The sequence below is a fragment of the Homo sapiens genome, chromosome 8 (assembly GCF_000001405.40).
Source record: "Homo sapiens chromosome 8, GRCh38.p14 Primary Assembly".
Taxonomy (NCBI): domain Eukaryota; kingdom Metazoa; phylum Chordata; class Mammalia; order Primates; family Hominidae; genus Homo; species Homo sapiens.
In genome coordinates, this window is record NC_000008.11 from 119,816,386 (window position 1) to 119,830,023 (window position 13,638).

A 13,638-nucleotide genomic window follows, 5' to 3' on the forward strand; every position below is an offset into this window, starting at 1 on the left:
GGAGGGCATGGCACCTTAACTTTAAAACAAATAATAAGAAAATGTGATTAAATATTATTTCTTTCAGTGTTAAGACATACTTGTATGTAAAATCAATGGTAAAATCAAATTTACCACGGAATTTGATGTTTCACTTTTAATTTCAAAACTGCTATATTTAATTTCTGTTTTAGCTTTATTGGTTCATTAAAGAAAGAAAGTTATTTTAGAAATAAGTAACAGAAGCATCTAGGAGCATGCTAAAGGCCTTAGCTATCTGCCTTTCCCAAAGTTCTCTTTAAAAATAACATCTTTCACTTGTCTTTTTCATATCTAACTGCCAATAAACATAATATTTCTTCTGAATAATTGGTGTGTTTTTGTCATGTCTTATGAATCTTAAAAACCCTCTTTGCTATGGCAATCAGAAATATAAGACACAAATCTACAGTTTTCCTCTAGGAATTGTGCAGTAACTTAATAGTAAGTATCCACCATCCTATACTTGTTTATCCTTCATGCGAATTTCATTAGCTACTTTCTAAAACTTTCGTCTAATAAAACTCTAAAATAAATTTCAAATTCTTTTTGAATAATTCAGAGGATAAACAGAAGCAAAAATATTGAAAATCACCTCTCTTAAAGAGTAATCAAGATTCTAAAGCTAAGCAAAAAAGCAGGGATAGTCAAGCATAGTAGACAATTATTAGTCAAGCATTTACTAAGTGGCCATGGCCAACAGAGCTATGGTTCTAGTTGAATGAAAAACTTTAAATACATTCCATCTTTCCCAATTTCCTAGCCTAACCTTTGAAAAGATTCTCTTTTATAACTTCCTTTTCATTCTTTGTATTATAAATATAATATATATACAGGTCTGTGGCCTGTTAGGAACCAGGCCACACAGCAGGAGGTGAGTAGCGGGTGAGCAAGCATTACCTTCTGAGCTTTGCCTCCTGTCAGATCACCAGCAGCACTAGATTCTCATAGGAGCCCAAACTCTATTGTGAACTGCGCATGCAAGAGATCTAGGTCGCACACTACTTATGAGAATCTAATGCCTGATGATCTGAGGTGGAAGTTTCATCCAAAACCCCCTCTGCCCCCCTGGTCCGTGGAAAAACTGTCTTCCAAGAAACTGCTGATTTAGAACACTAAAAGTAATGAGGCATCTTCCATTATTACTAGAGAAAAATTTTAGGGAATATTATCAAAATAAAAAGAGCAAAGTAAAGCTTGCTTCCTTAACAGACCAGGATCCCTGTCATTACACTTAACAGATTATCCTGAGACCTGGGCAGCAACAACAAATTATTAGTAAAAAAGATGTACAGACACTGTCTTTTGTGACTGACAAACAGGCATCTTACCCTATTATCAAATGCAGAGTTCTAGGCTGGATAGGGTGGATATTTTGGCCTTCTGGCAAGGTAATGGGTCCTCTATCTGCTCTTTATCAGGTGACCTTTCCATTTATTAGTGTATACTAACTTCCCCAAAGGTAGAAGTTTTTGTTTTTGTTTTCTGGGGGGAAAGGGATGCAGATAATTTTGTAATAAGTCTTTTTATGTCAGTTCTACAAATGTGGCTTTAAAAGCAATGTAATTTCAACAACTCACCTTTGTGAAATGGAAAGTTACAGGAGTAAATCAGGGTTCCCTGAATTTTTCCAATCCCATTTGTGTATCTCCTCTCTAAATGTGAAAGATTTTAAACCAATGATTATTGGGACCATAAATATGTCTAAAAATAAGCCTCCCTTCTAAAACTTTGCAATTGCTTATGGCAGTGGTTCTCAAGCTTCGGTCTGTATCAGAATCACCTGGCAAGCTTCTTAAAACACAAACTGTAGGAGCCTACCCACAATTTCTGATTCAGTGGGTCTGGGGTATTGATTGAGAACTGGCCTGTAGAACAAGTTCCCAGTTGATGCTGATGCTTGTCTGGGAATCACACTTTAAGAACTGCTGCCTTAAGGCATTATACCTCTAGACTAGTTAAAACATCATCTTGACTAAAAAGTTTATGATAAAGTTTTGGCATCCTACCCCAAAACACAAAGAATCACAGAAATGATATAACCCAATGTTATCAAAGCTTTGAAAAAGCAAGTGCCCTCAACTGTACTTGATAGTATTTAAAGTAGTAGACATTTAAACACTAGGGCACAATCAGGTAAAATACTGAAAACAGCCATTAGAAATGAAAAGTAAAATAATCAAAGGGAAAAAAATTTGTATGTGACAAAACATTCACTCACTACTTATGACTGCAAAATGCCAAAAAACTGGAGAATAATTATACAAACTATACTACACTGAGCAAATGGAGTATTATTTAACCACAAAGATGACAAAAAAATGAAGTCCACACACACACACACACACACACACACACACACACAGAAAATGGAAACAAAGTATGAAATAGAAGTAGAACATAAAACTGATAACAGCAATATATGTTTAATGATAAAAATCAGAAGTAGCCTCAATAGATGTAGTATTTATCTAAGGTGAAGAAACGAGCTACTTTAGACCTAATATGTTTATAAGATAGTTTAATGCAGTCAATTTCATTATCTACTTTCTAAAACTTTTTTATAGAATATTTTAAAGTAGCCTCTGGTCTACAGATTACAGTGACCATCTAACCCACTGAAAATTACTTTCAAAATTTATGAAGTAAATAATTAAGAAAAACACTGAAAGTAAAAAAAATGACTAAGAAAATCTAATTAAAGTTCCCAGATAACACTTCCTTAAAGTTTTAACATGAAGAAGGGAAACTTAGTAACTACGTTGGGCACAGCTAGCAAAATCACTTGAACCAAATGTACAGAGTGGTAAAACAGATAAAGATTGGGATTCAAAGCCCATTAACGATCCAAAAAAAAAATACTTTGAGAAAAACTAATCCAATCATTAAAAACATTTTTTCAAAACTGTTAAAAATAGTGACTTTTAAAGTGCATAACTTACTGTTTTGATTCACTGTGACAAACTTCCAAGGTTGGGTCATTATAAATAAAAGCAGCCTCTAAATCATTGATCCTTACTCGGTATATTCTACACTGTTTGCTGTTCAACTTGATTCTATTCAAGTTTGCAACTGTGGGAAATATAGTCAGTTCCACAAATCCCTGTAAAGATAGAGAATAACAACTTCATTATAAAGACTGGTATGTTTCAGAATATATTTCTTTTATTTTTACCACTTGTACACATATTATACTACAGAGACAAAATCCCTAATAGCTACATACATACATATGCTCTCCAAGTATCTTAATTTCAAACATGATTGTCCTAGTGACTGAATGGGTGTGAGTTATGTATACTTTATCATCCTGGTGGTTCATATTCACTATCAGTGAAAATTAGGCAGTCAGAAAAAAGTAAAAGGGCTCACTACTCTCAAAAACCAGAATTTCTAAACAGACTAGGCCCTAAAAAGGGAAGAAGAAAAAAATTACAGAGCAGAAAGGGAATCAAAATCAGAAGGGTGATGAGTGAAAGAACATGGCAGAAAAAAAAAGGGGTAAAAAATTATACCACTGAAGCTAACAAGTATGAGTTTCTGCTCATGAGTAAATTAGGACAGGTAAAACAGCAAGAGCTACAAAAGATACCAAGGCAAGTAGGAAAAATCTGCTGCCATATCCAGGAGCAGCAAATACATCACAGTGTTCAATCACTTCCTGTCAAGTAGTCCAGAGGCCATATGTAGTTCTACCATGTTAGCTGTATGGTAGCAATGTCTCTGTATCCAACACATGAAAAACAGTTAAATACAGACTGCCCACCACCCTCTTGTATTGAATCAATGGGAAAGACGAACAGATGAAACACAGAATATATGTTAATTGATTTTAATATCCTGGGTTGAAAATTGATGTACTCAAACATAAAACAAGGGACAGCATGAAATAGCAATATTTCAGGACTCCAACGTGAAGAGAAAAATTTCAGAGGCTATAACAGAAATATCTAAGACAAAATTCAGACAGCAACCACAGAGGACTAGATTATAATGGCTGCTACCAGGTACCAGACATTACACTAGATACTTTCCTATGTTCCCTCTAATCCTAATACCAACTCTAAGAGACAAGTACTACTTTATACTTTCTACAGAGAAGCTACAAATACTACTGTACAGTATTAAAAAGTTAACTTTTTACAGATAAGATAAGAAAGGCAAAAAAAGTAGGTCAGTAATAAGTAGAGACTAGAGATTCAAACACAACTAAATAATTCCAAACAATTCCCACTATGCCATAATGCCTGTGGGTACAAGGGTTTTAAATGATATGCAAGAATTGTTTTTAGGTAACATTTAGTCCAACCGCTCAAGAAAGCCTAGAGATTCTGTAGCCCCTTTGTTCTCAATTCCCAAGTAAGAGGAGAGCCATACACTTAAATTAGAACAATCAGCACATATCTGTGAGCTAGAAACACAGAGAACAAAAGAACAAAGGCCAAAATAAAGTTGATAAAGATTCTGTGTTTAAAGGTGTAAACTATGAGCTGCTGTAGGAAGGAAGACCAGAATTCCTTTTAATTAGCATATCTGTCATCCAATGACCATTCTAAATTTAAATGAGCTTGGATCAGCTGAAAGATAAGATTTAGAACCAAGACAACTACAAAACAAAAGATTAAAGAAGTACTGTCAACTGCTACTTGGGTGGGACATAAGAACAGCATCTGGTTTTCTAAACTCTGGTAACAATAATAGAATGATGAAATGTATTTCAGGAAGATAGGAAAAGCCCAGTCTCCTTGTACCATCAGGCCTCTGCCACCACCTAGGGCTCTAACCTACAGCTGCCTGAAACATTCGGACCCATTAACCTCTACAAGTCTTCAATCTCTGCTGCCCTTAGCCACTGGCATAACTGCAAGCCTCTCGGGTCATCTAGCTTCTCACTCCTTGCTTCTTGCTCTCTCCCCACCACTTCACAGATAACCATTCTCCTGGAGCCCACACTCCATTTTAAACATTTCCCCTGTGCTTTTCAACCTTTTCTAAAACTCCCTCTCTACCCTCTTGCCTTAAATGAAATGGTTCCTGAATCCTCCTAGACAAGAAGCTACTTACTCTCCCATTCACTATAAACGAGGGTAGTGGAAAATAGGCATTCTCCTAGTTTCCACGACTACTTCTGGGTCACTTATAGGATTTTATTTACTGTACACTACAAGGTTAAGGACAGTGTAGTGTCACCGTGAAAAGCAGGTGTTCTGGAGGTAGACTCCCTGTATTCAAATCCTAGCTCTACCACTTAGTAACTGTATGATATTGAGCTAGTAACTCCAGCCCACTGTGCCTCAGTTTCCTCATAAAAAATGACATTATTGGCCTATTAGTGTTATTATGACAACCGAACAGCCAGGCATGGGCTCACGCCTGTAATCCTAGCACTTTGGGAGGCTGAGGCAGGAGGACTGCTTGAGTCCCGGAGTTCAGAACCAGCCTGGTCAACATAGCAAGACCCTATCTGTACATAAACTATTAAAAAATTAGCCAGGCATGGTGGCTGTAGTTCCAGTTACTGGGGAGGCTGAGGTGGAATGATTGCTTGAGCCTGGGAGGTTGAGGCTGCAGCGAGTCATGATTGTGACACGGGTGACAGAGCAAGATCACATCTCAAAAAACAAAGACAACTGAAAAACTTACATGGAAAACACTTAAAATTATAGCTGGCATCTAGTATTTGCTTAATAAATGCTTTTGTTATTCTTTTCTGCTTATCCTTTGTGTTCATGCTATACAGGTACATCATCCTTTATGCTTCTTCATTAATATCTATGAAATTCCCCAACATTTGATGAAGGCTCATACTCTTGCCTTTTTTTTTTCTTTTTTTTCAGAGACAGGGTATTGCTCTGTCACCCAGGCTGGAGTGCACTGTAGCAATCATGGCATACTGCAGCCTCAATCTTCCAGGCTCAAGTGATCCTCCCACCTCAGCCTCCAGAGTAGCTGGGGACTACAGAAATGCATTACCACACCTGGTTAATTAAAAATTTTTTTCTCTAGAGACGGGTCTTATCATGTTGCCCAAGCTGGTCTAGAACTTCTGGCCTCAAGTGACCCTCCTATCTCAGCCTCCAAGAGCACTGGGATTACAGGTATAAATACTGCAACTGGTCACATACTCTTCTTTTGTAACACAAGTCTGCCATCACTCTAAGTGACTTGAATATAGATATGTCTGATCCATCCAATAAAACTGCCTCAAAGTTCCTTGACCTCAGTTCCTACAATCTTCACTTCCATCCAGGAAGAATCAAGATCACACTCTGAAAAGCACTTCATCACTGCTTAGAACTGCTCTGATGCTGACATTATGAACTCAAAGGTCCACAATGCCTCTCCTCACCCCTCTCATTACTTCTCTCCCAGTCCTCCTGTTCAACTGCCTGAAATCCTCCTGTCCTTGACTTCTTCCAGTTTCTCACCAGAAAAGAATTCAGAAAAGAATAACAAAAGCATTTATTAATCTTCTTGGCACTCCTGGGGCTTTTTCTCCCTTCACCCTAAATCCTTAAATTCAACCACTCCTCTGCCAACTACCAATTACCTTGCCCCTCTGTTTCACGTACCCATCTTTCCCTTCTGTTTAAGAATGATATATCCAATGGTCCTTTAGCACCCACTCCCCACAATATCCTCAGAAATATCACTGTTTTTCTCTCTCCTATAATTACAATCTTTCCTTTCTGTAGAATTTTTTCCGTGCCTATAAATATGTTCAAGACTCAAGGTTTTAAATGCCTTTAGATCTATGCTATCCTCAAATGAATTTTGTGCCATCTTTTTCCCATACCTTCAAAAGAGAAATTCTTGAAAAAGTAGAATATGTTCACTGTTCCAACTCTCTCTTCCATTCAGTACAGTATGACTTATGCAGTCATCATTCCACTGAAGTTACCTGACATGTTTGGGCTGTGTCCCCACCCTAATCTCATCTTGAATTCTCATGTGTTGTGGGAGACCTGGTGGAAGGTAACTTAATCATGAGGGCAAGTCTTTCCATGCTATTCTCATAAAGCGAATAAATCTCATGAAATCTGATGGTTTGAAAAACGGGAATTTTTCTGCACAAGCTCTTTTTGCCTGCCACCATCCACGTAAGATATGACTTGCTCCTCCTTGCCTTCTGCCATGATTGTGAGGCTTCTCCAGCCACGTGGAACTGTAAGATCCCCATTAAACCTCTTTCCTTTGTAAACTGCCCAGTCTCAGGTATGTCTTTATCAGCAGCATGAAAATGAACTAATACAGTAAACTGCTACCAACAGAGTGGGGTGCTGATAAAAAGTTACCTGAAAATGTGGAAGCGACTTTGGAACTAGGTAATAGGCAGAGGTTGGAACAGTTTAGATGGCTCAGAAGACAGGAAAATGCGGGAAAGTTTGGAACTTCCTATAGACTTGTTGAATGGCTTTGACCAAAATGTTGATAGTGATATGGACAATAAGGCCCAGGCTGAGGTGGTCTCAGATGGAGATGAGAAACTTGTTGGGAACTAAAGCAAAGGTGACTCTTGCTATGTTTTCGCATAGAGACTGGCAGCATTTTGCCCCTGCCCTAGAGATTTGTGGAACTTTGAACTTGAGAAAGATGATTTAGGGTATCTGGTAGAAGAAATGTCTAAGCAGCAAAGCAGTCAAGCGGTGACTTGGGTGCTGTTAAAGGCATTCCATTTTATAATGAAAGTAGAGCATAAAAGTGTGGAAAATTTGCAGCCCGACAATGATAGAAAAGAAAATCCGGGCCGGGCATGGCGGCTCACACCTGTAATCCCAGCACATTGGGAGGCTGAGGCAGGTGGATCACGAGGTCAGGAGTTCAAGACCAGCCTGGCCAAGACAGTGAAACCCCATCTCTACTAAAAATACAGAAAATTAGCCAGGCATGGTGGTGGGCGCCTGTAATCCCAGCTACTCAGGAGGCTGAGATAGAGAATTGCTTGAACCCAGGAGGTGGAGGTTGCAGCGAGCTGAGATTGAGCCACTGCACTCCAGCCTGGGGGACAGAGTGAGACTCCGTCTCAAAAAAAAAAAAAAAGAAAAAAGAAACTCCCATTTTCTGAGGAGAAGTCCAAGCTGGCTACAGAAATTTGCATAAGTAACAGGGAGCTGAATGTTAATCCCCAAGAAAATGGGGAAAATGATGTCTCCAGGGCATGTCAGAGGTCTTCACACAGCCCCTCCCATCACAGGCCCGGAGGCCTAGGAGGAAAAAGTGGTTTTGTGGGCCAGGCCCAGGGTCCCTACGCTGTGTGCAGCCTAGGGACTTGATGCCCTGCATCCTATCCACTCCAGCCAGGGCTGAAAGGGGCCAACTTTGAGCTTGGGCCATAGTTTCAGATGGTACAAGCCTCAAGCCTTGGCAGCTCCCATGTGGTGGTGAGCCTGAGAGTGCAGAGAAGTCAAGAATTGAGGTTTGGGAACCTCCACCTAGATTTCAGAAGATGTATGGAAATGCCTGGATGCCCAGGCAGAAATTTGCTGTAGAGGTAGGATCCTCACAGAGAACCTCTCCTAGGCCAGTGCAGAAGAGAAATGTGGTGTCAGAGCCCCCACACAGGGTCCCTACTGAGGCACCACCTAGTGGAGCTGTGAGAAGAGGGCCACCATCCTCCAGACCCCAGAATGGTTCACTGACAACATGCACCGTGCACCTGGAAAAGCTGCAGACACTCAACGCCATCCAGTCAAGGCAGCCGGGAGGCTGCAACCTGCAAAGTCTCAGAGGCAGAGCTGCCCAAAACTATGGGAACCTACCTCTTGCATCAGCATGACCTGGATGTGACATGGAGTCAAGGGAGATCATTTTGGAGCTTTAAGATTTGACTGCCCTGCTGTATTTCAGACTTGCATGGGGCCTGTAGCCCCTTTGTTTTGGCTAATTTCTGCCATTTGGAATGGCTGTATTTACCCATTGCCTGTACTCTCATTGTATCTAGGCAGTAACTAACTTGCTTTTGATTTCACAGGCTCATAGGCGGAAGGGACTTGCCTTGTCTCTGATGAGACTTAGGACTGTGGACTTTTGAGTTAATGCTGAAATGAGTTAAGATTTTGGGGGACTGTTGGGAAGTCATGATTGGTTTTGAAATGTGAGGGCTTAAGATTTGGGAGGGGCCAGGGGCAGAATGATACAATTTGGCTGTGTCCCCACCCAAATCTCATCTTGAATTCCCATGCGTTGTGGGAGGGACCCAGTGGGAGGTAACTGAATCATGGGGGCAAGTCTTTCCTGTGCTGTTGTCATGATAGTCTCACGAGACCTGACGGTTTTTTTGTTTGTTTGTTTGTTTTTATGAGATGGAATCTCGCTCTGTCGCCCAGGCTGGAGGGCAGTGGTGCGATCTTGGCTCACTGCAAGCTCTGCCTCCTGTGTTCACACCATTCTCCTGCCTCAGCCTCCTGAGTAGCTGGGACTACAGGTGCCCACCGCCACGCCTGGCTAATTTTTTTTTTTTTTGTATTTTTAGTAGAGACAGGGTTTCACTGTGTTAGCCAGGATGGTCTCGATCTCCTGACCTCATGATCTGCCCGCCTCGGCCTCCCAAAGTGCTGGGATTACAGGCGTGAGCCACCGTGCCTGGCCCTGATGGTTTTAAAAACAGGAGTTTTTGCAAATACCACATGTTCTCACTCATAAGTGGGAGTTGAATAATGAGAACACATGGACACAGGGAGGGGAACATCAAACACCAGGGCCCGTTGCGGGGTGGGGGACTAGGGGAGGGATAACATTAGAAGAAATACCTAATGTAGGTGACAAGTTTATGGGTGCAGCTAACCACCAGGGCACATGTATACCTATGTAACAAAACTGCACGTTCTGCACATGTAACCCAGAACTTAAAGTATAATTAAAAAAAAAAAAACAAGAAACAAACAAACAAAAAAAACAGGAGTTTCTCTGCACAAGCTCTCTTTTTGCCTGCTGCCATCCATGTAAGAGATGACTTGCTACTCCTTGCCTTCTGCCATGATTGTGAGGTTTCCCCAGCCACATGGAACTGTGAGTTCTCCATTAAACCACTGTCCTTTGTAAATTGCCCAGTTTCAGGTATGTCTTTATTAGCAGCGTGAAAATGGACAAATACTTTACCCTTGCTATGGTCACTTATGACCAAGATTACTTTCAGTTTTCAAGTTTATATTTCCTGTTTACATTTAAAATTAATAACCATTCCATTTCCTCCTTTTTTTTTTTTGAGATGGGGTTTCACTCTTGTTGTCCAGGCTGGAGTGCAGCAGTGCGATTTCGGCTCGCTGGAACCTCCACCTCCTGGGTTCAAGCGACTCTCCTGCCTCAGCCTCTTGAGTAGCTGGGATTACAGGCATCTGCCACCACACTCAGCTAATTTTTTTGTATTTTTAGTAGAGACGGGGTTTCACCATGTTGGCCGGTCTGGTCTCAAACTCCTGACCTTACACCAGCCTCGGCCTCCCAAAGTGCTGGGGTTATAGGCGTGAGCCACCACACCCAGCCTCCTCCTTCTTAAGATATGTTTTTCAGCCAGGTGTGGTGGCTCACACCTGTAATCCTAGCACTTTGGAAAGCCAAAGTAGGGTGGATCGCTTGAGCCCAGGAGTTTGAGACCAGCCTAAGCAACATGGCAAAACTCCGTCTCTACAAAAAATACAAAAATTAGCCAGGCTGGTGGTACGTGCCTGTGGTCCCAGCTACTCAGGAGGCTGAGGTGGGATAACCACCTGAGCCCAGGGAGGTTGAGGCTGCAGTGAGCTGTGATTGCGCCACTGCACTCCAGCCTAGGCGACAGTGAGATCCTGTCTCAAAAAAAAAGGTTTTCCCTGGTTTCTACAGCCCAAGTGTCAGTTTTCTCAAATATCATGTTCTTCAGATATTTCTCCCTGATGCTCACTTCCTGCTAGATACTCTAAGTGAGCTTTTCCACACCCTTAATGAACAACTGTATATCAAAGGCTCCCAAATTTCTCTCACCATCCTTTATCTGCACAGACATGTAGCCAACTACCCACTATTCATCTCAATTTAATAACCCCAAAGTGCATGGAATGTAATTTTCTAATCTGACCTATAAATCTTTCCTCTCAAACCTGCTGCCCTTCCCTTCCATACACAGAGTAACCATTTGTTTAAACTTATGCATTTTATCTTGTACCCTATCTTACAGAAGTAGATGGCATGATCAATTGCTGAAGGCTCAGTTACAACTACAATTGAGAAACCTCCCACAGGATGCTGCCTTTAATTAGTAGACAATGTATCTCTCCTAGCCAAAACAGAACTGGGAACCAAGGGGTGAAAGTTGGAGTGACTACTCTCACTATTACACCAAAAAGGCCATGGAAGGAATTTTTTTTTTTTTTTTTTTGGAGCAGGGGACAGAGTTTTGCTCTTGTTGCCCAGGCTGGAGTGCAGTGGCATGATCTCGGCTCACTGCAACCTCTGCCTCCCGTGTTCAAGTGATTCTCCTGCCTCAGCCTCCCAAGTAGCTGGGATTACGGGTGCCCGCCACCATGCTCAGCTAATTTTTTGTATTTTTAGTAGAGATAGGGTTTCACTGTGTTGGCCAGGTTGGTCTCAAACTCCTGACCTCGTGATCTGCCCACCTCGGCCTCCCAAAGTGCTGGGATTACAAGCGTGAGCCACTGCGCCTGGCCAATTCTTGTATTTTTAGTAGAGACAGGGTTTCACCATGTTGGCCAGACAGGTCTTGAACTCCTGACCTCAGGTGATCCATCCGCCTTGGCCTCCCAAAGTGCTGGGATCACAGGTGTTAGCCACCGTGCCCAGCCATGGAAGGAATTTTTGCCTCCTGTCTCTGTGACCCTGGGTTCAGCATGTTGAGAGGTCCTAGTGCCTAAGTGAAGAATGCATCCACCAGGGCACATAACCATGATTCCATTCCATTGGAAGTTGAGGCTGCCCCTTGACCACCTTGAGCTCCTCATCCCAAAGAACCAAAAAGCAGAGAAAGGGGTCCTGTTCTGGCTGGAATGAATCATTTCAATTACTGAACAGAAAATTAAAGCTTTGCTATACAATAAGGACAAGAATCACATCTGAAATCTAGAGGATTCCCTCAGATGCCTCTCAGATCCCCCCTAACAGTCCTAGGCAACAGAAACTGCAACAACCCAATAAAGATATAAACAGCAGTGAAGGTCCTAAAGAAACAAGGGTCTAGGTCATCCCAATAGAAATGTCAGCAGAAGGAAAAGGAAACACCGAAGGGGTGAAGAAATAAAGCAGTATGTATCAACTTCGGCCATACTACCAGCTAAGGGAAGCAGGGACTGTTACAATTTAGTTTTATACTATTTCTTTCAACCACTTTTCTTTCCACTATCTTGCATAAAAGACACTAGAGGTAGCTAATATTTTAGGTGGGAACAGGGCTGAACTGTCATCTCTCACACTAACAGAATAGCTCAGGGATTAGCAAACTGTCTCTTAAAGGGCCAGATAGAAATATTTCAGGCTTTGTGGGTCACACAGTCTCTGTCTCAGCTACTCGCCTCTGCCAGCGTAGCTCCAAAACCTCCACAGTCAATATGTAAATAAATGGGGATGGCTGTGTTCAAGTAACATTTCACTTAAAAAACAAGTAGTCAGCCATTACCAACTCTTTCAGTGGCTCATAGGACTTTGTAAGTTCCCCATGTTAGGAGCACTAGCTTTTCATCTCAACCAAAGACAACAGTGGATGCGTTGGGGTTAAAAAGGTAGACTGTTCTGATTATTCTCATTTTGCCCCTCCTGATCTGCTCTCTACCCTACTCAATACCCTACGAGTTGCATTAACTGGGCTCTACCCTTCTGGCTGGGTTGGTCCAACAGTTTCCACAAAAAGGAAACTGGAAAACAGAAGGAAAGCAAGTTTATATTAATTACCCCAGATTCCTTTCCGCCAGGCTGCAGGTAAGCAGTAGCTTCATTCTTCTATTAAAAGACACAGGTCCTACAAGGTGACCCATTCCATGGCTACAGTAGGTTCTAGTAACTTCCCCTTCCCGTTGTTGTTTCAGGCCTAGACAACTGTTCCTCACTGTTGATAGCTCAGAGGGTTCCTCCACCTCATGTTGGTTTCTGTTAACTCTGTTCTAAATACTCCCTTCATTTCCCTCAATTAACTTGTGTGTGTGTGTGAGTGTGTGTGTATATATATGTATGTGTATATATATATACACATACATATATGTATATCTGCCATTTACTTCCTACCAAGATCCTAACCCATACAACATCCAATCAAAGTTTCCAATGGGAAACTTAAGTCATCCACAACCCCTTTATAGCAGTCTTGAAAAAGCCACATGCAACTTCTATTGATTCCTCAGGGACAACACAGGTGGAAGGGGGAATGAAAGACGTAAAAAGTGCATCAAACTCTTAGGTCATCAGTGATTAAAAAGGGTTTCATCATTTGCCAACTTTATGCCCTTAAGAAAGTTACTTAACCTCCATTCTTTTTTTAGTTTTTTTTTTTTTTTTTGAGACGGAGTCTTGCTCCGTCGCCCAGGCTGGAGTGCAGTGGCGCGATCTCGGCTCCCTGCAAGTTCGCCTCCCAGGTTCGGCGCGATCTCGGCTCCCTGCAAGTTCGCCTCCCAGGTTCATGCCATTCTCCTGCCTCAGCCTCCC

At 41.6% G+C, this 13,638-nt stretch overlaps 1 protein-coding gene across 5 annotated transcripts in view; it reads right to left on the reverse strand.

Moving 5' to 3' along the window:
* The window catches only part of TAF2 (TATA-box binding protein associated factor 2), a 102,068-nt gene that overhangs the window by 85,612 nt on the left and 2,818 nt on the right, over positions 1 to 13,638 (reverse strand). For 4 of the 5 annotated variants that reach the window (NM_001437339.1, NM_001438084.1, NM_003184.4 and 1 more), the window contains exon 3: positions 2,961 to 3,121. In NM_001437339.1, coding sequence (NP_001424268.1) covers positions 2,961 to 3,121 — 161 coding nt within the window. Of the gene's footprint in view, positions 1 to 1,598; positions 1,674 to 2,960; positions 3,122 to 13,638 lie in introns of those variants that run through there. The other variant, XM_017013780.2, reaches the window with a different exon arrangement.